Genomic DNA, 27,636 nt, shown 5'->3' with positions numbered 1-27,636 from the left:
CTGGGAGGCAGAGGTTGCAGTGAGCCAAGATTGCACCATTGCACTCCAGCCTGGGCTACAAGAGTGAGACTCCATCTCAAAAAAAAAAAAAAAAAAAAACTCAATAACAGTCTTATACCATAAGAAAATAAACATTACAACAGAGATAACAAAACTGAGGCTAGAACAAAAGAGAAAAATAAACCCACAAAAGCAAAAGTTTGTTCTTTAAAATAATCAACAAAATTTACAAACCTTTAGCTAGACTACCCAAGAAAAAAAAGAGAGAAGGGTAAAATTAGGAATGATAACAAGAATGTCACTACTGACCTTATAGAAATAAAAAGCCCAGGACTAGATGGCTTCACTGGCGAATTCTACCATTCAAGAAAAATTAATGTCAGTCCTTATCAAGCTCTTTAAAAAAACAGAAGAGGAAAGAATACTCCTTAACTCATACTGTAAGACCAGCATATCTTGACACAAAAGCCAAAGAAATCCCAAGAAAACTATAGATCAATAGCTCTTATAAATATAAATTCAAGAATACTCAACAAAATACTATAAAATTTAATCTAGAAGAATTATTATATCATAATTGTGATTATATTAAACCATATGATCATCTCAACAAATGCAGAAAAAGCATATGACAAAATATAACATCCTTTCATGACAACACACACACACACACACACACACACACACACACACACACACACTCAACAAACAGAACAGAAGGAAATTTCCTCAGCCTGACAGAACATCTGTGAAAACCTCAAAACTAACATAATGGTAAGACAGTAAAAGCTTTCCCCTAAGTAATCAGGAACAAGAAAAGGATGTCTGCTCACACCTCTTCTATTCAATATTGTACTAAGCATTCCAGCCAGGGAAACTGGGCGAAAAAAAAAAAAGAAAAACAGAAATGAAAAGACATCCAGATTAGAAGTAAAACTATTTCTATTTGCAGATGACATAATCTTATGTATAAAAAACCCGGAAGAATCCACTAAAATATTTTAGAGCTAATAAGGTCTGCAAAAATGCAGAATACAAAATTAATATGCAAAAAGCAGTTGTATTTCTAAAAACTAGCAATGAACAAACCAAAAATGAAATTAAGAAAACAATTCTGTTTACAATAGCATTAAATGGAATAAAATACTTAAGAATAAATTTAGCCAAGAAGTGTAAGACTTGTCCACTGAAAACTACAAAACACTGTTTAAAAAATTAAAGGAAATGTACAGAAATGAAAAGACATACTGTTCATGGACTGGAAGAGTTACTACTGTTAAGATGGCAATAATTCCCAAACTGATCCACAGACTCAATACAATCTCCTACTAAAATTTCAACAGTCTATTTTTCATTTTCAGAAAGGGACAAGCTGATTTTAAAATTCATATGAAAATATAAGGAACCCTGAATAGCTAAAACAATCTTAGAAAAATCAAGAAACAAAAAAACTATAGTAAGGAAACACACTTCTTGATTTCAAAACTTACTACACAAAGCTACAGTAATCAAAACAGTGTAGTATTGATATAAGGAGAGACGTACAGACCAACAGGATATTACTGAAAGCCTGAAATACACCCACATGTCTTTGATTAACAGATTTTTGACAGGAGTGCTAGGGCAATTCAATGGGGGGATATAGTCTCTTCAAGATATAATGTAAATTTTCATAACCTTGGAATAGGCAATAATCTATTAAATTAACACCAAAAGTTAAAGTAACAAAAGAAAAAAATTATTGAGACAAAATTTTTGTGGATCAAATGACATTATAGAGAGTGAAAAGACAGCACACAGAATGGGAGAAAATATTGCAATCATATATGATAAGGGTCTAGTATCCAAAATGTATAAAGAACTCTTACAATTCAATAATAAAAAGATAATGAAAAGGCAAACACGAAAAAGTGGAAAAGGATTTGAATAATCATTTCTCTAAAATGGAAAAGGATTTGAATAAACATTTCTCTAAAGAAGGTATGCAAATGGCTAATAAGCACATGAAAACATTTGGAACATCGTTAGCCATCAGTAAAGGCAAATCAAAACCAAATGAGATAAAATTTCAACCTCACTTGATGGCTGTAACAAAAAAGACACAACAAGTGTTGGTAAGGAAGCTGAGAAACTGGAACCCTCGTATGCTAATGAAAATGGTGCAGCTACTTTGAAAAACAGTTTGGTAGTTCCTTGGATGTTAAACATAGAGTCACCATGAGACCCAGCAATTACATTCCTAGGAATGTGTTAAAATATATGTTAACACAAAAACTTGTACACAAATGTTTACAGCAGCATTATCCATAACCAAAAAGTGAAAGCAACCCAGATGTCCATCACCAAATACTGATGAATGGATAAACAAAATGTGGTACATCCTCATATGAAAAATTACTTAGCCATAAAGGAGATTGAAGTACTGATGCACATTAGCATATGAATGAAACCTTATTCAAGTGAAAGAAGCCAGACACAAAAGGCCACATATTATATAAATTCATTTATATGAAATGTCCAGAATAAGCAAATCTATATAGTTAGAAAGTAGACTAGAAGTTGCCAGACGATATGGGAAGGAGGGAGGTACTTGGAAGTTACTGCTAACAGGTATAGGGTTTCTTTTCAGGGAGATAGAAATATTCTGGAATTAGATTTGGTGATGGCTCCACAAAAATGTGAATATGCTGAAAACCAAGGAATTGCATGCTCTAAAATGATTTAAATTGTAAATTTCATGCTATGTGGATTTTACCTCAATAAAAAATGAAAGCCACCCTTCTCCCCCACAGAAAGCAAGTACTACAGTACTAGGTAAACAGTAATTACTCAACAAATTTCAGTTATTTTTCCTGTTTGCTTTCTTGTTCAAAAGATATTGCCATAGTCCTAACTAGCTAGAAATACAGCTGGAGTGCAAAACCACAGCATAACAATTATTCTATGGCTAGCTCCCACTGACAGATTTCCATAAATTTCTAGTGCTATCCAAATTCCTCCCTTGGTTCAAAGCAAAGTGAAGAATGGATGGTGCACGAAATCCACTTGCCACAAGATTTCTAGCTTCTAAAGAGCTAAGGTGATGTCCAGTTTCTGGGTACAATCACTGGGCAGCTGAGAACCAGTGAATACACAGGTTGATGCCACTGTCTAGTCAAGCTACAGTCCAGTCAATCCATCACATGTTACCAGAAACTCCCAGCAACCACAGGAAAATGCTTCTTTTTTACCATTTCCCACAATGTGGTCAATATGACTCTTGCTGGCACCACTTCTCAGACACTAACATCACTAATGAAATTCTATTTCTTTGCTCCTCCTGCCTCACCCTTTGAGCACTGCAGTACTTTCTGGGAGTACACAAGAATTCATGTAAGAAGAGTGGACTAGACTATTCCAACATCCCAGGATGAGACAGGGCAATTTTTCACAGAGAGGCTTATCTCATACCCACCCTAGGAAATTTATTCACTTCTTTTCTCAAGGGAGCAAAGTAGTAACTTTAGGCCTTCTGGGGGACTTTTCAACCACAGAGTTTCCCCTGAGTACATTCAGTCCTCTGTTTTCTACTCCATTCTTTTCTCTTTTAGTGGTTTTCTTATCATTTGTCTTTTACTGAACAAGTCATGTTACCTTGACCCTCCTTTTGAATATGTTCTTCCTCATTCCTGGAAAGCCTTACTCTTCTCTACTCTCCAACTCCAAAACAGCAAACTGCTCTTCATTCTTCAGGTCAGTGCTCCCTGAAGAAGACTTTGCTAATGTCCAAAAATAGATTTGGCGGCTTCTTTTCTCAGTTCTTATTTTCTCACAAAACTCTCCACTAAAGCATTTGCCAGGTTGTATTATTATTGTTGATTTTCAACATAGGTATGTGCATATCCTCACTAAACTATAAATTCTTCAAAGGCAGATGTTGTGTTTACTCATCTTCATAATTCCAGCACCTAATAAGTAGTAAGCATTTAAAAAACAATTTCTTAAATAAATGGGTGGGAAACCAAAAAAGGCCTATCAGGAGCCTTAATATATGTTAACATTTCTCGAGTCCTACTGAGACGGACCAGGCATTGTGTCAACAACTTTGTATGCATTATCCCTCTGAATCTTCCAAAAACCATGAGAAGGAGGTAGTTAGTAACCTTTTTTTGAACAGGTAAAATGATGCTTTACAGAGACAGAATGTTTCAGGATCTGAACTTAAATTAATCATCACCAAAGTTTATGCCCCTATCCACCTTAGACTTCAAAGGGAAAGAACAATGAATAAATTGATATAAGAGGATTGTTTCAAGACAGCATATTTAAGTTGGGAATTATCTACAGTATCTTACTAGAGGCTTCTTTGTGAGGCTTTCTAAAATAAACAACTCTATGTATGAGATCTCACAAACAATGGTTTCTCTAGTTTTGCTGCTTTTGTAACTCGTGTCTTTGCACATGCTGTTCTCTTAGTCTAGGAAGCCCTTACCATCTTATGCAATTGTAGAATTCCAACTCATAACTTAAAATTTAGCTAAGGTATCACTTTGGACTTAGGGCCATTCTGCCAAAGGAGGTATTCTCATCCTAAGTGGTTGCTTGCTGTTCTTTACAATTACTTCATTAAATGAATACTCTAGATGACCTTATACATTTATTTACATGTCTTTCTCCCCTAGTCACTCTAAATTTCTTCAAAGGCAGAGTTCCTTTCTTATTCATCTTTGTACCCCTAGTGCCTGTGTGGCACAAACACAAACATTTATCAAGGCACTTGGTAAAAATATTGGTTAACAATTTCTACATCTCCCAATTTGGCCTTCTCGTATATTCAGGTATTATCTGCTTAATTCTGGCCAAGCAGGATGTAAAAAACATCTAGAATTGCCATTGCCCATGATCCTTTTTAAAACTTCCTCTGTCTCCACGCAAAATGTACTCCATTTCTTTTGGTTGCAGAGCCCTTACTTCAATTCAGGTTTGTATGACCCTTAGTAAAGGTCATGGTCTTAGTTATGGCTTGAGCTAGATTTGAAGATGCAAAAGAAAACAAAGCAAGAACTTGATAATCTTGGTGACTGACACTAGAAGTAAAAAAACAACCATCTTATATGATCATAAAAGTTAAATGAGTGCATCATTAACTAAGAAGGGGAAAATTGAGGATGGCCAGGATGATTTGATAAGAAGTGACACCTGATTTGGGATTTGCAGTAAAACTATGTTGGGGGAGACAGTGGATAAGGCAAGAGGCACTGTACAAAAGACAGCATGTGAATAAAGCCAAGGAGACCTGAAGGAGCACAACATAATCTTGAAGAGGAAGTGGGTTGGTTAGCTGCGATGAAAGACATCATAAGGGGAAAAGTAATGGGAGATGAAGCTGGAGGTCTAAGTTGACATAAGATATAAAGATGAAGGGCTTATACTTCAGATTGAAAATAGGATTTTATATAAACCAATAAAAAGGAACAATCCACAAGGTTTTTAATTAGGGTAGTGACATAACCAGGTTTATGTTTGGTAACAACTCAGCAAAAGACAGAATATGGCCCAGAGTACAGAAAAGTCAGAGGCAGATTAATTAGCTAAGGAGATTACTTACTACCATTCTCTAGTCAAGGAATGAACTAAACTAGCAGCAATGTGCATAACACAAAGATAGAACTGAGCGGACTTAGGAATTAGGAAGGAAAACAATTCTATACGATTTGGTGATAGGCTGACTATGGAGGTAAAGAAGGGGTGGAAGAGGACTATGATATTTCTAACTTGGGGAATTGGGGTAGACAGGGACAGCACCATCCAAGAAAGTAAATACAAGCAAAAGAGGTTTGTGGGAGATGTTAATGAGTAATTACATAAATACTCAGTTTGAAAGACCTCAGGGACTTATACTGCTAACCACTCAGTCTACAACTTAATCATATGCTGAATTATTTTGATGTGTTTAAGTAGATTTCTCAACCAATCACAAAACTTCGAAAACCTTGTATTTTATTTCTTTCATAACATCACTAGTGTATAAAAAGCCTTCATTAAGGTTGGGTGCAGTGGCTCATGCCTGTAATCCCAGCACTTTGGGAGGCCAAGGTGGGCGGATCACAAGGTCAAGAGATCAAAACCGTCCTGGCCAACATGGTGAAACCCCGTCTCTACTAAAAATACAAAAATTAGCTGGGTGTGATGGCACACGCCTGTAGTCCCAGCTACTCGAGGGGCTGAGGCAGGAGGATCACTTGAACCTGGGAGGCGGAGGTTGTGGTGAGCCGAGATTGCACCACTGCACTCCAGCCTGGCAACACCGCGAGACTCTGTCTCAAAAAAAAAAAAAAAAAAAAAAAAAAAAGGCACTTCATTAAGACAATACTAACAACAAGCCCTTGGTGAACTGTTTGACTAGTGTGAACCATGATTGTGTACATAAATTAGGAAACAATTTTATTATCCATTCTAGGATTAAGAGGGGAAGTTTTCAAAATTTCTAGATTGCTATATACAAATTCTAACATACTTAATAGCATAAAGACAATGGAGAAAGAAGAGAAATGACATTTCCTCTTTACATTTACTAGTAGGTAACAGTCTATCTGCCTTTTATCTTGGAGCAATTAGTCTCCAGTACACTTGAGAAAGTGACCTAATCCAAGTTGTTTATTTACCAGTTATAAGCACTATGGGGTCAGATATTAGTTCTGCCACATTCTGTATAACCTCGAGCAAGTTACTAAACTGAACCTTTAATTTAAATCTATAGAAAGGCATAAAAAGACCTACCTCACAGATAAGGATTAAATGCCATACATACAAGCATCTATATCTATGTCTGGCATATGATAAGCCACCAAATTAATATCTTTCTTTCCTTCATGTGTTCTTCGTAAGAGAGGAGACAAATCTATGTATATTTATAGGTTTCTAATATGAACACTTTAGAAGTTATATTTTAAAGTAATGTTCAAATTTAGCAATGCATAATGGTTAGTAAGTACTGAAATTAAATCTCATTTAAAATTTACTAGTCATGTAACCTTGGTTGAGTTCACCAAAATATGCTTTCTCATCTGTAAAACGGGAATACAAATTGTACTGAATTTGAAGGTGACTGTGTGGATATAAATGACATAATGCATGCACAGTATGTATTTACTATGTACCAGTTAGTACGCTTATCAAAAGTAAGCTGCTATTATAACCATTATACTCCATTTTGTCAAATAGGAAAATATAATACACCTCTTATTACAGAGACATAATGATGTATTTGTGTGCATGTGTGCACGTGTGCGCCACTGAGGAATACATGAGGACAAAGTCAAAGGGAACCAAGAAATTGAATTCAACAGTTACCAAACAATATACCATAAAAATCAGTATCATCTTATAGTAAAACATAAATTTTTACTGAGGAAAATAAGAGGCAGCAGGGAAATCACCAACTAAATTTTAATCTTTGTAGAGTAATTACCAAAACTATTATCTTTACATAAATTTGGATGACCATAGGAGACATGAAAAATTTTTATAAGGTATTTTCATGTAGTTTCTCAGAAATAAGGACTTTAGGAATAACAGATTTTACATAATATTTACTGAACTAATTTTAATTTGCTTTTAAGAAAGACACAGATAAACATTAACAGGCACTTTTATTATACAAATGAATAGTAATAACAATAGCATATATTTTTCCCACACAGAAAAGGTATTTCTGACTTACCCACTCATCATCTTATATTTATTTATTTCCTCTTAGCAACAAGTATCCTTCACTGAGTCATCTACATTATTTTACCTGGTCTCCCGTGACTCCCAACAACACATTTGATGAGAAAGTTGACTAAAATACATCGCATAATCCTTGTCTAGGAAACTTTTTCTTCTGTGTTTAAAAAAGTCACAGGAATACTAGACTTGTAACCTGGTTCTCAGTGTCATGGTATAAAAATGTTTCTGCTTAATACTAAATAGTTCAGCCCCATGGGCATACTCACTCATTAATCCAGATCCAATAATTGGAAATGAGATAATGGCATGTCCCTACTAGACTAAAGTTCAATTCTAAATTTATCTGTGAAGTAAACCAGCAAAAATAAATTAAGACTATAACAAGATTTGCAAGGAAATGTTTGGTCAAATTTTGCATATTATTTTCAAGCAGTTTTTAAATTATCTTAAAAGCATTGATTTACATAACACCACTTAATATATGCATTACAAATAAGCTTTATTCAGATATAAAGATGACTCTTCTTGGAGACAGTTCATATCACTACGTACATCTGAAGTTAAACTGCATATATTTTTAATTTAATTCTGTAAGTCATGCTTCCCCAAAATTTACACTGGATCCGACCTCAATTATTCTGAGTTAGCAGTATTTTCAAGTAGCTATAATTGAAAATCCCAGTCTGATGTATTAAACACTTAAATAACTGCAGATACATTTTTAGAGCAAATAAATATGTTTTACAAAAGACTGGAAATAAGTTAAATTTACTTATTTTGCAAATCATAGGTACTGACAGACCCAGGATCTAAAATATGTATTTCTAATGACTTATTTCCTTCAACTAAAATTATCAACCCAGCACAAATATCTTTCTTTACAATCCTGATTTTGTAGATGGGTAAGAAATTGGTAGGCAACATATGGTGAGTCAAGTATCACTGAACAGGGAATAAGAAAACCTGCTTCTAGGCCAAAGGCAGAACTGGTGTAATCCATAAAGCTCTAGAGCAGTGATTCTCAAACTTTAGTGATGGAAAGAGAACCATCAGGCAATCCTTGTTAAAATCGAGATTCCTGAGCCCAAGTAACTAGAAAGTCTATTCTTTTATTTATTTATTTATTTATTTATTTATTTATTTGAGAAGGAGTCTCGCTCTGTCGCCCAGACAGGAGTGCAGTGGCACGATCTTGGCTCACTGCAACCTCCGCCTCCTGGGTTCAGGCGATTCTCCTGCCTCAGCCTCAGGAGTAGCTGGGATTACAGGTGCCCGTTACCATGCCCGGCTAATTTATTTATTTATTTATTTTTTTATTTTTTTTTTGTATTTTTAGTAGAGAGAGGGTTTCACTGTGTTAGCCAGGATGGTCTCAATCTCCTGACCTCGTGATCCACCTGCCTTGGCCTCCCAAAGTGCTGGGATTACAGGTGTGAGCCACAGTGCCAGGCCTAGAAATTCTAATACAATAAGATTAGGGTGGAGTCCAATAGTCTGCAATTTTAATATGCAACTCAGGTGATTCCGATACAGGTGGTCTAGGAGTTCATTCGTTTTCAGAGCACTCACAAACTCCCTGAAATACATAAACAAGCCCATACAAAATTTTTTATACAAGACATCCTACCCCCCAAATCTAATGATTTCATCAGATTTTCAAAGGGAGCTAAGACCTAAAAAAGGGTAAAGGCTACATTGCCTCAGGAAGCCCTAAATCCCAGGTAAAAATAAACCTGACTAGCTACCAGATCGATCCCTTTATTTGTAAAATTTCTTTCAGCAACACTGGTTAGGTCCTTTTTCTCCTTTTTCAGATGTACAGGTAGTAACTCTGCAGTCTTTATACAATTACCAAATGTGAGTAAGGAAACTATTAATATCATAATTTTCTTTGTAAGAGATTTGAGGTTTGCAATTTTTCTTATTTACCTTATTTGTAGTTTTTTTGGTCCTCCTCATCTTCCTAAATTTGTAGTTTTATTTTACTCTTCATTTAATGTAGATTATAGAGGAATTATAAAGCTGTGTTTTAGAGTAACGTACTGAGGCTCGATATGGTAAATTTTAAAAACTGTTGTTATTTTTGAAAGCTGGTCTAAATATCTTTATGTAACCAAGGCCATTAAAAAAAAAAAGGTTCTTTGGCCTCTTGTTTTCAGTTCCCTATAGCTTACTCATAGCTGTGAGAAATTTTTTTCTGTAAGTCATAAATACCTTTTCTTCCTCATAGAGGCATATGCTTCTCATCAGTCATAAAAAGGAGGATGCAACTTTAAAATGTTATATAGGCACTAAAAATAAGTGGTAGCAAAAATTGCCAAGAAAGGACAGAGATGTATCATCACTGAACTCTTAGTGTAAGAGTGCCTTGATCACCACTATTTATATCCACATAGATTCTTATAAAAGAGAAATTCCACATCTCTTGAAAGCAAGAGTATTATATGCTAATGAGGTATCTGCAACTAAAGTGCTCAGCAGAGGTTTGGTAGGTTATAAGTACTTTTGCACATATATTTTTAGGTTTTCTTCACAATTAAAAGTAAATAGTAAACAACGAAGTAGAAGACAGTCCCCTTTAGGTGGCCAGAGCTTTTCTCTCCTTATCACTCTCTCTCAGATTAAAATATAGGAAAGGATAAAGATGGCTTTAACTTGTTAAAAGACCATACAATGCTCTGAGAAGATTTCTGTGTATATTTCCATGTTAAGACTTTCTTATTTGTTTAAGAAGAAAGTTTGTTCCCCTTAAAAAATTTCAAGTACAAGCAAGTAGGTATTAAAGGATTTTTACGTTTTTGGAGAGAGGAAAGATGGGTGGAAAGCAGAAGAAAGGCAGTGAAGACCAAGGCAGAACCTTCTTTTGCCCCAGTAATCAATCTCTGCATCATCTTACTTGCTTTAGAATAACGAGTGTTTGTGTGTATGATGTACATGAGTATGCATAAGTGTGTAACGTGTGTACAGGTACAAGAGTGAAAGCTGTTAAACTAGATGGCCTGTTGTAAACTGGTTCTCATCTTTCTCCTGAGAAAGATCATCCATGATGGCCTGATGGTGGTTCTTCTCCAAATCCATTTCAAGGTACTTCAGAACAAGAGTGTCTATACAATCTGCTACTTTTAAGTATTACTTTCCTGAACTTCTAACCCTTCCTCAATTTCACCTAACCAGTCAGAAGTCCCCTTTCCTAATTCTTTCCTGACCTGAGCCAGGGTGGGGTGCTTTCATGTCTCTCCATAGTTTCAGTAATTGAAGCTGAGGATCCAGAAGTCACCTTCACAGAAATTCCTCATCACACCCTCCTGTTACTCCCAAAACAAGTCATAGAGTCCAGATTCTGTAGTGTCGTCAGCCCTCCAACTCCCGCTGAACTGGTGTTTAACGATCCTTCAAGAGCAAGGTAAGAAAATGTTAACACAGGGGATCATAGCCCTAGCACAGTAATTCTCGATACTGGCTGGACTTCAATAAATAAGCTGGGCATGGTGGCATGAGCCTTTAGTCCCAGGAGGCTGAGGTTAGAGGATCACTTAAGCCCGGAGGTTGAGGCTATAGTGACCCATGATCGATCTGCTGCACTCCAGCCTGGGTGACAGAGCTAGATCTTGACTCAAAAACAAACAAACAAACAAAACTCCACAAAAGCATATCACTGGTAGATAACATCTACCAGTGCTTTTGTGGCTTATTTTGTAAAGCCATCACGTGAGGGGCTTTAAAAAATACCAGGGCCTCCACCCTCAAAGATTTTGATTTAAAATTTAGGGCCTGGTCCTACATGATTTTAATGTGCACCCACAGGGCCAAGAATAGTTATTCCAGACCTAGGAGAAAAACGCACGCAAAAACAAAAACTACTGCCATAATATGTTTAACTGTTAAGGATGGGGCCAAAAATAAATTAATGGATACACATATATGATAAAGATTAAATTGTGTTTGTTATCAAAATTGGGAGTTTGAATAAATATAACAGAAATAATGTTGGCTATATTTTTTAAAAAGCTATCATTGTCACTTACAGCAATTATTTATTTTGCCTTATTATGAATTAATGATATAAATACCCATATATACATCAAAGTAACTTAGTTTTATTTAATTAGATCACAGAGAGATAGAATTAAAGAATCAAAAGGCTGGATAATCTATTCTGTCCATATAGTATACACACTCAGATTTAATGAACATGACATTATTTATAATTTTAAAGAAGATATTATCTACCAGTAGGGTACTTTTGCAGGGATTTTTTTATGAAAGGCTGGAGTGCAGTCACACAATCATGGCTCACTGCAGTCTTGACCTCTTGGCCCAAGGGGTCTTCCCACCTCTTCCTTCTGGGACTACAGGCTCGTGCCACCATGTCTAGCTTATTTGTTATTTATTTAGTTATTACTTTTTAACTTTTATTTTAGGTTCAGGGGTACATGTGCAGGTTTGTCAGATAGGTAAACTGCATGTCACAGGAGTTTGGTGCACAGATTATTTTGTCCCCCAAGAAATAAGCATAGTACCCAATACATAGTTTTTTGATCCTCTCCCTCCTCCCGCCCTTAATTTTTAAATTTTTTGTAGAGATGGGGTCTCACTATCTTGCCCAGGCTGAATGGAGTAGGGTGCTTTGAATCAAACTAGACAATAGCCTAGTATTACAAACCACAGCATTCCCTTTTACAAAATAAGAAGCAGGAATATGTGCCCAAAGTCACTTTTTCTCAAACTAAGTAACAGGTATTTTGAAACATAACTGACTGGCCAGTACCCTTGTGGTTAACTGATACTCACCAGATAATGTGATTTTAACATAACTCCTTAAAACACAGCAACTCCTTATAAAATATAACTCCTATTCCACGTAGTATTTTCATATAGACTCTATAAATTAATCTTGAAGATAATGAAATTAAAGAATACACAGTAGTAACCCACTTAATAAAATGAATATATTCAATTAGATGAAAATGCAATTTCTATAGCAAAGCAATTTTTCATTAGTTTATACTTAAAATTTCAGAAATGATTTACCCTCATTTCTGCTTACTATTCAAGCAACAGTGATTTCCAACATTTTAAGCCTCGAGTTTTCTTGTGTCTCTTTTAGCCCAGGGTAGGAAGTGACTTTACAAACACTTAAGTACATCAGAAGAGCTTTCTATTTAAAGCAATTCTTCAGTGAAATCTTCTCACCATTTACTTTACGAACTTTGCATATTCGGTTTTTTAAGTATTAAATTTCTTAAAATTTGGCACATTAGTAAAGTAAAAATAGTATGTGTCCCTAGAAGACAAAACAACAAATATACACCAGAAAAATAATAAGGTTTAAAACATACAGGAGACACTGTACCCTCCACTATAAAGAATGCAAAAATATGATATGGGATACCTAAAGAAAAAGATTTTTCTTATAAATTAAAATATGCTCACATCACCATATTATATTTTGAAGAAAGATTATCTCTATTTTTGAGATGACAGATCTAAGGTTGTAAAGCAGAATACTTGTTTTCAGCTCTCAGCTATTATTTTTGTCTGTAGTCTGCTGCACTATCTTTCTCCTTTGCCATATGCATTGTAGGTGGGATGTTTCCTGTTGTTACTATGTCTAGCTTTGCAGACTCAATTTTCAAACAGTTTATTTACTTCTCAAAGTGTGATCCTATAATTGTGCTTTGCTGTCCCCAAGTCAAAGTAAGTATTAGGATGTGTACTCAGTTTTTCTATTTAATATATATTTTTGAAACAAAAATCAAACCCTTCGTTAACCTGGTATAATTTAAACAGTAACATCAAAAACCAAATTAAAAAAATACAATGGACAGTAAGATAAAATCACCTAACTTCCTTACAAATCTTTATCCGTTAGTTTAGTCAAAACCTTACATGTGATTGATGGGATATGCTTTCTAACTTATTATAAACTCTTTTATTATCAGATACAGTGAAGATTAATTCACAGTAAGAAGATTACAAACTGGTGTTACATCAAAACCATCCCAGGAAAAAAAAATGTGTCCTTAATTTCCCCAATCCTCAAGTTTTCTTTTTCTTTTCCTTTTTTTTTTTTTTGTCAGCAATCATAAGACTGTACTTATTAAATTCAAGGTAATTAAAGAAAACAACCTTCTTTACCGAGAAAAAAGAAAAAAGATACAACCCTGAAAAGTTTTTGTAGAGATGAGATTTAGGAACCATAGTACCAACATAGTTTGCTTCCAGGGACATAAGACTCCTGTTTAGAAATTTTGTAGATGTATGGAACTTAGCAAAGTCCTGAAAGATTTAGTAAATGCTAAAAGAAACTGAAAAGAAATGTATAAAACAAGCATAAAAGAAGTTTTAAAAATGTGATTCCTCCTGTTATATAGACTACACTGAAATCCAGTGTCTGGTTGAACTTTCTAGGCATCCTGCCTGACTTTCTTCTCTTTCACATTCCTGCTTTATTTCTTATGGCAGATATTATTACACTAGGAGGCAGGGGACCGAGGTACCAGATATACCAGTTGTTATATAACCTTGGATAAGAGACCTTTTCTGGGTCTCTTTCTCCTGATCCAAAACATTGAGAGAATGAAAAATTAATGCTTTTATTATTATCACCTAGAAATGTTTGCTTTACAACTCAACTTGTATCTGCATTCTCTAAATAGCTGAAAAGAACTGTTTGTTCTTTTGTAATGTATATCACTCATAAATATTTCCTTAGTATTGGTCTTCAGTGGAAAGACTATAAGCTCCATAGTCCTTGCCTGTCTTATTCATAGGTGAATAACTGGCATACAGTAAGTACTTAATATTTTTAGAATGAGTAACTGAATTAATGAACATTTATGCTTCTCTACATCACTATGAAAAACCTGAGCTTGCTTCTCAAGTCCTGGGACTTTCTGTAAATGCATTTTTCCTAACTGCATTTATAATGCGAATACACTGCACATTCTGTTTTTTCTCTTTGAGAAAAATTTCTGCTTATGAAAATATTACTATTCTCTTGAATCAGGATTTGATGTCTCTTAGCAGCTGATGTTAACCTTAATAGTTTAAGATGTCTCTAACTGTCTCATTTAAAGATAATAATATTTTTCACAAGGCATAACTTTAAAAAAGCATATGTAAATATAACTTGATATTTTTTAGCAGACATTTAAAGTGGTTTAATTACATCAGGATTTACAAAATAATATGAGTTTTCAAACTGGGTTACTGGGTGATTAGGTTTCCTGATTCTATGCAGAATGAATATATGAAAATACCAAAAAAGATTTTAGAACATTTTGTAGAACTTGTTTATAACATTTAAGCATTATTTCATATGAAAAATACCAGGGATGTTGTGTACCAGAATCCAGTCAATACTTGGTTATTTGAAACAAACAAATTATCTTTGTTTAGTTTTCTACAATAAAAGTGGCCTTTATGTAAAAATCTCCATTAAGTGTTTGCAATTTTTAGAGTAGTATACTAAATGTTAAGTTTGGTTATTTTGGAAGAGAAAATTCATTCTGCCTTTACATAAAAACCCTACGTCTTAAGCAATTATGAGCATAAATTATAAATTTGAAATTACTTTTGTTATCTACGCAACCATTTATAATTATCTCTTTAAAAATGCTTCTGAGTGTTTTGATTGCCAATATTTATTATTTTCTGGGTCCCCCAACCAAACTGTTCATCAGTTTCTTAAACTTATGAGTTACACACTCTGTAATAGTTTAAATAAGAAAAAATAAAAACCTATTTAAAATGTTCTTTAATATGAAAATTAAAACATAGATACTGTTCACCTTATAAATCTAGTGCTGTTCAAAACCTCATTGCTCACTAATTTATTCCCTGAAACTTGGAATCACTTAATAGAAATGAAATACTAAGAATGACAGTTAAGTTTCTAGGATGGCTCACAGGAGCACTGAGCCCATATATAGTACTAGAGTACTGACTATGAGAAATAGGAGTTTTTGACCTAGTTCATCAAAGATGGAGAAAAAGCCAGTTGATGGCTAAAAAAGATATTCAGCCCTTAAATGTCCTAAGGGATGGCTAGCCCAATACTTAACTTTAATTGTCTACACCCATTTAAATCAAACTTTTCAAGTAATCTTTGAGTGAACCAACCTTAAGTAAGAGGATATATCCAAAGCAGACACAAGCTAATACAATTTTAAACAACAGAAGAACATATCTTTACATTTACTTTGCCAACTAATGGTTTTGTTGTTTGAATTCTCAATGAGGAGAATGTCAACTAATAGTTTTGTTGTTTGAATTCTCAATAAGGAGAACAGATAGCTTGGCTCAACACATTGGCACATGGAATATGTTGGGTTCTAATTTTAGTCTTTCCACTGACTTTCTTATTGCTATACTTTAAAAGGTCCTAAACACTCTGTATGTCTGTTTCTTTATGAGAAACAACAAAGATATTTTTCCCACTATCTCCCTCAACAAGAAGTAAAACAATAATGTAAAGAATCTGGCAAATGTAAAAAGACACATAAAAGTGTCATTTGAAAAGTCTGGTATACATTTCAAAGAACTATAAATAGAATTTGTTTTATTGTACCAAATGAAATATTACCAAGTTAAAGATTTACCATAATATACTAGTCACTATTTTCTATAGTACAACTAATATAAAGACAACACATATAATCACTATAACAGTTAATACTTTTGTGTCACTTAGCATGAACCAGGCATTTTTAAAGCATTGTATATATCTAAAGCATTGATTATATCTAAACTCACTAAATAACCCTGAGGTGGACACAACTGACTAGGCCCATTTTACTAATGAAGAGACTGAGGCACAGAATATCCCATAGCTAGTTAAGTGGTGGAGCAGGGATTTGAATCCAGACAGTCTGGCTCTAGGGTCCGTGCTCTTAACGTTTTTGCAATATTGCCTACCTAATGTGAGGAAACAAAGACAAGGAAAGAAAATATATTTACATATTTGTTCACTTAATAACAATCACCAAAACCAATGCTGTAAGTTATGAGAATATTTACATTAACCAAGTTGGGGAGCATTTATTCAAATTTCTCCACCATCTGAGTTTCATGTTTACAGATGTCCACTTTGTGGGTCTTACTGTGTTGGCAAAGTGCAGAACAGCACAAAAATGAAGTATATCAGTCCTCAGAAAAATGTAGGAGTTCAAGAAAGCTTTAAAATAGCTTTAAGATTAACAGATAATTTTATTTCTAAAAAAAGAAAAAATTTTTAACGCATAACATACAGATTATAGAACAGTTATTAATAGTAATATAATTTCATTTTCCTTCTCGCCTTCTACTATTACTAATAGTGCACCCTGCTTATTCAACGAAGACTTGCACATATCTTCCCTCTCTTAGAATTAATTCATCTTTGTGATATTTTGTTATTAATAAAGGTAACAATCCATTTTTTTCATTTTTTTTCATCTACTATGGTAGTAGATGCTATTAGTAATAGGAGAGAAGGAAAATGAAAAAATTTAGTGAATGTCCACAACATTCTAGGACTTCATACTCTATCATTCATAGTCATGACAACTCTGAGATATGCATTACCATACTAATTTTACTGATAAACTAAAGTTCAGAACTTTAACAGCTCGTTAAAGGTTCTATATTGTAGTATTCAGTCTATGGAGCCAATGCTCAAACCCAGGAATGTCTCTGAAAGCTCTACAGGTTGTCGCCTATTAATAAAAAGGGTATAATGTTTATCATTGGTCATCTGTGAGTAATAGTAATTAGAAGAGTGTAAAAACATATTGATAAGCTCAGCACTTAACTTTAAAAATAATTTTCATGACCTTTCTTTCTCAAAGCCGCTAAGGATGCAACAAAAGAAAATGATGTTTGTCTCACTTTTGTATTCTTCACGTTAAATTTTTGGGTAGGTGTTTATAAGCAGTGAAATATGAAGAAACACTTCATTAAGTATGTTCCTCAGAATGTTTGTTTGTTATAATGATAAAATAAGATAATGTCTACAAGACTTTTAGCACAATGAGTGGCGCAAAGTACTCAATAAATGTTAGTGACCATTATTAGAAGTTCAGAAGAATTACATATTAAGACCCCTTGAAAAAATATTGCAGTAAAAATGTTTATCCAGCATTCGTTAATCATAATCATGGTTTTTAAACCTTATTTGATGAAGCAGCCTTTTGGGTTTTTTCAGGTGCGAGGATAATCATACCTATTAAGTTATCACAGAACTAGAGGACCTTGGAATACGCTTCGCTAAACAACAGTAGAAAGCTGTAAAATAGAAGAAACGTATCAATCCCTGAAAAATGCACAAGTGAAACTTCATTTCTATTTAAGAGGTACACTGACCTCTTAGAATTATTAGATAAATTTAGTAAACTGTCTTTTCAAACATTCTTTTGTTTTGAGACAGGGTCTTACTGTGTCACCCAGGCTGGAGTACAGTGGCATCATCACGGCTCCCTGCAGCCTTGACCTCGCAGGCTTAAGTGATCCTCCTACCTCAGCCTCCAAAGGACCTGGGACTACAGGCACTTGCCCCCATGCCTGGCTAATTTTTGCATTTTTTGCAGAAATGAGGTTTCACCATGGTGCCCAGGCTGTCAAACATTCTAATAAGCTTTCCGAACACTGTTGGTCTATTAATTAAAAGTAGCCTGCTAGATATTGCATGGAAAATGAATCAATGCTGGTATTTTCTCAATTGGAATGTTTTAAAAATAAGTAAACAAATAAATAAGCTCTAAATTCTATAGTTCTTATTTTTAGATGCCAATCTGCTGTAAAAGCATGGTCTGCTGTACCTGAGAATGCGAGAAAATTAAGTTCAAGATCACCTGATGAAGTACCTTCATCAATTTTCAACTTCAAGCATTGGCAGAATTCATCAACTGTTATGTGGTACGCTGTTTATTTAATGAAGACTTGTACATATCTTCCTTGTCTCTTACAATTTATTACATCTTTGTGATATTTTCTTCTTAATAAAAGTTGCTTAATCAATTATTTTTTATAATGCTCTTAATATTTTGGGCATTCCTTGAATTTTCAGTTATTAGATTGTTAATTACTTAATACAGACAGAAACTAGTGTCCAAAGAGGCTTAAAACTTAAGATCAACCTGAAATGAAGATAATTTATTGACAATAAGTTAAAAGAAAAATAAGAATTAAAAAATTAAATTTCTTCAACTTCCTCTTTAAAGTATCACTCCAAGTGATGCACACTAAGATATTCAAAGCTAACATTATGGCCTAAAATAGTACAACTGAGCAATTTATAATCACTTCTAACTGTATGAAATCACTCTCAATATAATCAAAATAAAGTTGGCATCTGTATTGCTGACATTTGGTAGCTCTGCATTTCTTACCAGTATATAATTTTTTAAATGTTTATATTCTAACAACTGACACGAATATGTGCTAAATTCAGAACAAATTATGAATGTGATACTTCTACTCTCCTTCTACCTTGGTTTGCTCGACATTATCACTCTGTTCTATATCTAGGTGCCAGCTAAGGATCTTCTAAGCTGTCCAGCTGAATGTGTCCCTCACCATCATTTGTTAGAATCTCTTGCACCAGCCTAATGCACTTGAAGTAAGGCTTTTTTCTTCATTATTCACAGCTTAGTCAATCATACCCAGGACATTCTCTTTTGAATACATATAGACATAACTTTTAATCTCCTTCCTTTTCTTTTCTAACTTCTACCTGGTTATATTTATGACACTACGTTGACTGGTTTCCAATGTTATTTCTGTTAAAAGGGTTTCTTATGAGACCTGTCACTGTAACCATGATTCTATGGGAAAAAGCATTATTGGTTTTAAACTGAAATAAAAATGAACTTCTATAACACAAATCTTTTATAATTAATAGTAGGTTTTTCTTGTTAAACCTAAGGAACATTAGTCTAAGTTTAAATATTAAACCTAAGGATAAAGGAAAGCTTGGCCTACACAAAGTTCTGCAGTTTGGCTCCTACATAACTCCCTAGCATCATCACTTACCATGCAAACTCTTGCTCTAAACTTCTGCCACATTGACCTTTGTTTAATATTCGGTACTATGCTTCCTCCCACCTCAGAACCTCTGTATATGCTATTCCTTCTTCCCAGAAAACTCTTTTCTTCATCTTGATCAAATTAACTTACTTGAGATCTCAGCTAAATAAACACTTCCTCCAAAAAAAAATTCCTCTTGATCGCACTGAGTAAATTCTCCTTCTAAAAGCCCTCATATTACGTACCTCTCTACAGCAACTGAAACAGTTCCAACTTTGCATTTATTTGTATGATTATTTCATTAATATCCTTTTCTATCTTTAGATATAAGTTCCGGGAGATCAAGACCTATGTCTATTTTTGCTCACTATCCCAGTGAGCACATAATAGTAACAACACATGTTTGTCAAAGAAAGACACTGGCAAACCCTTTGTGAAAAAGAGATAAACACTGAGTCAACAATAACCACCGTTTAAAGAAATTCACTATGACATTTTAGCTAAAAAAAATACAGAGCCATATTAGAACTCTTTAAACTTTCAGAAGAAATAAAAAAGTTCAATTTCTGGTAGTAGGTGAAGACTGGATGGTAATTTACATCATAGGGGTACCTGGAAATAAATTAGATGCAAACAAAACTTATAAAGAAAATGGAGAAAACATAAGCTGCATCCTTTGTTACTTTCAGCATTTATAGATGATTTATAGTTTTAATTGTGTACTATTTACTATTGATCCTAGGGATCAACCTGGGTAAAAAATTTATTTGTGAAAGAAAAAAGAACCTTAGCTAGTATTCTTGCATGTTTGCTGCCTTAACTAGTGTTTTCATTTCCAACTCATATTCAGAAAACACTTCAGACTCCAATGGACTCTCTAGTCATAATTGCAAGGACCTATTCATTTCCTTATTTTTTGTGCAAATAATTTTTCCCCCTTTCTCTACTTCTTTCTTTTCGAAACTACATTCAGGGAAATAAAATTTTAGAACCATAAAAGTAAAGGTACGGTATATTATTTCAAATCATTTCCCTAATTTACCAGGCTACTCTGAATTTTAATCCCAGCTTTCAAACTAGTAAAAATAAGCTTCCCAATCCTCTCACCCATTGGAAGCTTTGTCTTTACCTGAATTACCCTCTTCTGTGACAAACTAGTATCTAAACTCCACCTAAACCCTGATTAACTCAGGTCCTCCCCAAAAGCACACTGTGATTAACTCTACAGAATTCTAATTGCTTTTTTTTTTACAAGGCATATTTACACACTCAGTTTAATGTTATTTTACAAAGGTTCTTAAAGTGTTTTTCAAGTACATGTTTCAGTCACTTAAAAAGAAGTACTTAGTCTTCAAACCTTCTGTTTTATTTTTGTCCTCTATTCAAACCAGTACCTGATTATAGAAAACATTACAAAAATATTACATGATTATACTATCTGTATTTTGAGTGAACATATAATAATTTGGATCACTGATTAAAATAATAAAGTTCATCTTATTCCCATATATTATATCTTATCTCAGATTGAAATTGTCTACCACTTTATAACTGCCATCCTTTATCACCAGCAGCCCAGTCTATATTTTTCCAGGACAGTGAGAAGTGCATTTTTCAGTAAGAAGCAAAATATTTAAAAACTACATTATATCCATTGTTCCTTCCTCAATTGACTAGGCTTTTCACCCTGTTAGATAAGTCTGACAGACTTTATTCTCTATCAAGCTATGATGACTGTTAGCCAATACTATATTCTCTTCAAGATATTCTAGGGATATATTCATGTGACTATTTAGACTAGAACTGCAATTTTCCTGGGTCATTTTTTACTTCAATACGTAAGTATATTTTCTCATCAAAAATCATTACATGAATATAAGCTTATTGCTACAAATAAATCCAAGTAATGCTAAAGATTAAATAAAAAGAATTCGTCAACCTTCCCACATCCCACATATATACTTTCCGTATACAAAGCATGGAATTTGATACCTATCTTCCAGATTTTTTCTTAATGTACTGAGGTTCTAATATATATGGCATATACTTTATGTCTTTATGGTATAAATAGTATAAAAATGTATTGTATGGATGTAAACATATACATTCATAAACATTGCATACTTATTATTCTGTCCATTTTTTACATAAATGAAATCATAGTGTGCATATTATTTTGTGATGTGCTTTTCAACCTAGCTTATCTTAGAGATCTTTCCATGGATTTAAACTATAAATCTAAGTTTTGCATGGTTGTTTTTCATTCTTATCTTCAGATACACTTGAGAGTATTTCCCAACTTTTTTTTTTCTTATGAGACAGAGTCTTGCTCTGTTACCCAGGCTGAAGTGCAGTGGCATGATCTCTGCACTCAGGAGGCAACCTCTGCCTCCTGAGTTGAAGCGATTCTCTTGCCTCAGCCTCCCAAGCAGCTGGGATTAGAGGTATGTGCCACCAAGCCTGGCTAATTTTTGTATTTTTAATAGAGATGGGGTTTTACCATGCTGGTCAGGCTGGTCATGAACTCCTGACCTCAAGCAATCCACCCACCTTGGCCTCCCAAAGTGCTGGGGTTAAGGCATGAGCCACCGCACCTGGCCCCTAACTTTTTATATTACTTAGCTTCTTTTAATATTTCCATCGTAGTATTTTTTAATTAAAAGCATTTTACCAGCAATGCATTAGATTTAATATGATTTTCCATCTTTCCTAAATGATCTGTTACTTATACCTCTTATAAACTTGGATGTCAATAAAAATTACATGTACATACATAAAGAATGTGTAGATTTAGTCATTCAAGGTCTAAAATTAATAAAAACTAAAATTTGGTTTCGTAAAAAAAGAAACCAATGTAACATAGCAAATTTGCCTACTAATTAGAAAAATTAAACACACATAAAATTCAAATCCTTTTCTGACTGGCCCAGGTAAACTGTACAAAAACAGAAGCTGTTGAAGAAATGGTTTCAAAGAATTCTAAATAATTTTTAAAAACAAAAAACCCTTCTAAAACAATTTACCAAAATACTTAAAACAATAAGAACAGCAGCCTAGAAAAGCGATATGTTAAATTAGAATCTGTGTTATGTGGGACTAGACTCCTTTCATACATGTAAGAACACCTGACTAATGTGACTGTTAGGTTTATTTTCTAGTGGGCAACATATTGCTATATTTTTCAAGCTAGGAAGAAAATTCGAATAAATTGAATAGCAAAGTAACACCTTCTACAGAATTCATTAATTTCAAAACAACTAAGGTGGACCATTTAAATAATACATGCAATAATATATGCTGTTAGGTTTTATTATAAAAAGTGTTAAAGGAAAAGACTATATTACTTCTAGTAAAAAAAAAAAGCTTAATTTTATACTTCTATGAAAGAATTAAAGGTTAACACCTAAATTTTAAAAAAAGTATTCTTAATGAGTGGTATGATTTAGGAAAGCTTATAGCTAGTCAACATCACTCTCATCACTATTAGTGATATTTGTAGCTAGTAAGAGCTTTCTGATACATAGTAAACTGAACACTGTAGCTTTAATTGAAGTTTGAATGTTATAAACAGTTAGATGTCTGGCTCTGGCCTGCATTCTAATACCATCAGCAGAACAGAGATGGGAAGCATAAACAAACCTTTTAACTAGATTACATTGTCTAAAATGGCCAAGAAATCCTTCAGCAGAAACTCCAGTGTGACAAATATAGAAGGAAAATGATTTTGGAATAACACTAAAAAAATAGCCTCTGAATATTACAGGAGCACGTATTTGATTTCCTAAATATTTTTATGTTATTTAATACTCATTAATGATACTTTATAACTTTTCAAATAAGAATATTTTATATCTTACACAGTGAACTCTTTTTAGGTCAGTATATCCCAAGTAACAAAGCTATTTAAAAATCAATATTTGCTTTTATTGAATGTGGAATATTTCCCTCCCCCAACATCAGTAAATGTACTTATACAGTCTAAATTATTATTTTTAGATCCTAATAATATTAAGAATGTATGGATTAAGTTAGTTGATGGCCAACAGATTAGTAGATACTTCTGGACTCATGGTGTATAAAAAACAGTAATTGTGAATACAAGGATAACCCTAAGTATAATTTAGCACACAGTCAATCTTAAAAAACACTTTGGGATTACTTCTAACTTCTGAGATACAGATATTAAATTTTTTTTTTAAAAGCTACACATGAACTTAAGTTTTAACATTAGCACCACACAGAAAATTTTCCTCCCATTGCTAGAATCTTGATTGGTTAGCAGAAGAATTCAGTGAAGCATATGTGTACAAAAACTTTTCACCATTTCAAGGTTGGTGACTGATTTACATAACTCATATTAGTCCTTTAAAACAATGTATTCTAATAATCTACTCAATGACACTGAACTTAATTACAGGTTCTCTAATAAAAGGTTATATAGGTCAACTGAAATAAGGATACAAATCAAAATTTGTGATATCCAACTTTGAATAAATTATACCATAATATAAGTTAAGCCTGGATCTCACTGTCTCTTTGAAGAGTTATAGTGAGTTACAGTGAGTCATTCCAGCTTCTGACATCTTACATGACATAGAAATACCTCAAACAGAAATACTCTAAGTGTTAGAGTTAGAATATTTACTTTTAACTGAATTATCTTTGGGTTGTTTAAAGAAATTATTTAAGATCACACTACTGATTATTCGGATTATTCTTATAAGCAACAAAACATTTGCAATAAACTTTTCTAATATATAACAGATGATAAAGAATATTTCTTTAGCATTTAAAAATGTTTCCAAACTCTGCAGGTCATTATGTACTGGCATAATATTTGCAGGACGATAGAGTCAATAAAAGTTGATATCCCTTATTCAAAAGGTTTTGTGGACCAGAAGTATTTAGAATTTTGGATTTTTACAGATTTGGGAATATTTGCCTTATATATCTATTGAACATCCCTAACCTCAAAATCCAAAATCCAAAATGCTTCAGTGAGCATTTTCTTTGAGCATCATGTCAGTGCTCAAAAAGTTTCAGATTTTTAAGCATTTCGGATTTTGGAATTCTGGATTAGGAATACTCAACCTGTATAAATTTATAATATGAACATGTATTTACTTAGAAGAGACACAAAAGTTACTTAAGTAATAAAAACAGGAAAAAAAGTTTTTAATTTTTTTTCTCTTAAAAGTAAAGGATGTAAAACTCAACTACCCAAAGAGAACTGTATTAAAAAGTATTTTAATTCAGTAGCTTTTAAGTATAAATATGAAATAATTTAGGCACCTAGAGAACCCAACAAGTTGATCATTCTTATACCAAAATATTTCTGACTTTAGTACTAAAAAGAGTACATTAAACTTAATCCTATATATGTAATGTAGTAATTATGAAAATGTATGATAGAGTCCAGAAGGTAATGTGTATACATACACCAAAGCACAAGACAATATAAACTTCCCATTTTTTATGGGCTTTTACACCATCAACACATTTATATTAAAAATTTTATAGTAAATATTCATTGGATCAGAAATTGTTATAACCTTTGAACTTCATATAAGAAAATATTAAATGTAACTCCACACAAGTTAAAGGAAGTTTAATACAGATAAGGATTGAACTGAACTTTTTTTTACTGTTTTTTTATTTGTTTATTTATTTATTTAGAGACAGGGTCTCACTCTGTTGCTCAGCACAGAGTCCAGTGGCATGATCATGGCTCACTGCAGCCTCAACCTGAGTTCAAGAGATCCTCTCCAGCCTCCTGAGTAGCTGGGACTACAGTGTGCACCACACCAAGCTCAGCTACTATTTTGATTTTGTAGGGATCAGATCTCACTACATTGCACAGGCTGACCCTGAACTACTAGCCTCAAGTGATAAATCCTCCTACCTCACCTCCCAGTTGTTGGAATTACAGGCTTGAGCTATTCCACCTGACCTTATTTTTTATTTTTAGAGACAAGGTCCCGCTCTGTGGCCTAGGCTGGATTGCATAGTTCGCTGCAGCCTCAAAATCTGGGGCTCAAATAATTCTCCCGCCTCAGCCTCCGAGTAGCTGGGATTACATTACAAGCGTTGAGTCACCATGAGCAGTTCCCAAATGTCATTTTTGCCATACAAAGAAAAGACTGACATTATGTATATTTTAAATTGTACAATGGTCTGTATCTACATTCCTTATAAAAGACTGGGTTTTTTTTCTTTGTTTTTCTGTACTTGTAAACTTTCAGAAATTTTCCATTAGTCTGTGAAGCTATCAGGGCCATAATTTTACCATCGCTTACCAGTGTACAGATTGATAAAAACTCTACTGTGACTGTGTTTTGAATTAGAAAGTGTCATAAATGTAATGTGAATTCAATTTATCACAGTGCTGGGTACTTATAATCAATGGTAACTATGATTATTACTAAAATAGAAAGTTAAGAATGAACGTGAAAGAGATCAGAATTCACCACTCAGGAGTCTATTTATCTTCACAAGATACTGCACCAGCAGAGGCATCCCCACCTTCTTTTTAACTGCAAATCAATACTTTTGTAAAAGGTATACTTTAAGAAAGGCAAATTTAATCCAGTACTTTTTCTAATATACTTTTCGATTACACATGAAAGCCATGACAGGAACTGAGATAAGATTCTTTGTTTTTGAAACATCTATCTACTAAGAAAATTCCAAATCATTTTACTAAAGCTATAGAGATTATACCACTTAATAAAGATTAAAAATTACAACTGACTTAGAACTAGAATTGGGAAGTTTCTTATGAGGATTTTGCAATGATATTTCTACTACATACTAAAAATTCCAAAACTCCTAAATAGTGCACACTAATTACTGCAGAATAATTAAATCATGCTGTTAGATTTGCTAAAATTTGGTAGAAAATATCTGAAAACTCAAAATGAAAATGTACAATGTCTTCCAATGAATCATGAATGATAATCTGTTATATGAGATAAAAAAGAAAAAAGTTACTTTTGAGAAAAAGATTTAAGTTTAGAGGGTTTGGGGTGTTTTTTTTTTTTTGGAAAAATTTAATGAGATAACTTAATGAACATTGTTGGTCATCTTAAAAGAATTACGGTTAGCAATAAAAATCCAGCAAAGGCAACCACATAGGCTATTTTCATTGTCTAAAATGTGTTAACTATATACAGAATATAAATCCCTAGAATACAGTATTAAGTGGAAAATTTTTCTTTATATATTTGTATTTTAATAAAATAACAGCAATATCTTTCTTAAACATGCATTTTTCCACCTAACAGTATCCATTTAGTTAATATAAAATTTATTTAGGTAGAAACACCAAAACAAAGATACGACCAATACACTTGTGGAATACAATTAAGATAGCTCTTCACATTAAACTGCAGGGACCATCTTTGTTTTTCAGATGCCTAGCACAGTGCCTGGCAGACAGCAGATGATCAAAAGATGTTTAATGAATCGCTAAGTACAATCTGTTTTGCACATACAGTCAAAATCCAGACAAGTTTGCAAAGGTACATAAGTTGGATATAGGCTTTCTGGCTGACTTCATGGGGGTCCCACTGATGACTAGGAGTAAATCTTCATATCCATAGAAAACTGGAAAGTTGATAATTGTCTGGGTAAGGACCAAAAAAACAAAGTCAGGGAAACATGTCACCTAAGTAGCACTTGTTTTATAGAGCTGGTAAAAGCGGCCTAATCATTCCAACAACCTATTGCACCGGTCAATGAAATTTAAGTGCATCCTGAACAATTTTTACAAGTATATTTTTAACTGGAATGTGTTGGATCATTATTGCTTATTCATAATATATCACTTTTGCCAAACTGCTTCCTGTATAAGAAGGGAATATGTCTTGTTACTATGAGTACCATATTGTTAACAGTATTTAATTTGGCTGTTAATTAGAT

The 27,636-nt window shown here is 33.5% G+C and overlaps 1 protein-coding gene and 1 long non-coding RNA gene across 25 annotated transcripts in view, besides 2 other annotated features; one reads left to right on the top strand and one right to left on the bottom strand.

Moving 5' to 3' along the window:
* LOC105373673 (uncharacterized) overlaps positions 1 to 18,711 on the top strand; it is a 34,765-nt gene extending 16,054 nt beyond the window's left edge. The window contains exon 2 of the long non-coding RNA XR_001739136.3: positions 18,475 to 18,711. This is a non-coding gene — a long non-coding RNA (uncharacterized LOC105373673). The remainder of the gene's footprint in view (positions 1 to 18,474) is intronic.
* The window catches only part of MBD5 (methyl-CpG binding domain protein 5), a 496,045-nt gene that overhangs the window by 464,666 nt on the left and 3,743 nt on the right, over positions 1 to 27,636 (bottom strand). For 3 of the 24 annotated variants that reach the window (XM_047445058.1, XM_024452988.2, XM_024452989.2), the window contains exon 2: positions 310 to 27,340. The exons of 20 other annotated variants lie outside the window; for them this stretch is intronic. The gene's annotated coding sequence lies outside the window, so the exon portion shown is untranslated. The remainder of the gene's footprint in view (positions 1 to 309; positions 27,341 to 27,636) is intronic. One more of the 24 variants, XM_047445074.1, reaches the window with a different exon arrangement.
* Positions 3,749 to 3,838: an enhancer, noted in NCBI's record as "active region_16615". NCBI's record gives its function as "activates an Ori minimal core promoter by ATAC-STARR-seq in GM12878 lymphoblastoid cells {active_cell/tissue: GM12878}" and the evidence as "EXISTENCE:reporter gene assay evidence [ECO:0000049][PMID:35858748]".
* Positions 14,150 to 14,651: an enhancer, noted in NCBI's record as "NANOG hESC enhancer chr2:148795224-148795725 (GRCh37/hg19 assembly coordinates)". NCBI's record gives its function as "activates a minimal SCP1, AML or CMV promoter by ChIP-STARR-seq in primed H9 embryonic stem cells {active_cell/tissue: H9 hESC(primed)}" and the evidence as "EXISTENCE:reporter gene assay evidence [ECO:0000049][PMID:30033119]".

Source organism: Homo sapiens, chromosome 2 (genome assembly GCF_000001405.40).
Source record: "Homo sapiens chromosome 2, GRCh38.p14 Primary Assembly".
NCBI lineage: Eukaryota > Metazoa > Chordata > Mammalia > Primates > Hominidae > Homo > Homo sapiens.
Note: the sequence above shows the minus strand (reverse complement) of the source record. Positions and strands in the feature narration are given on the sequence as shown.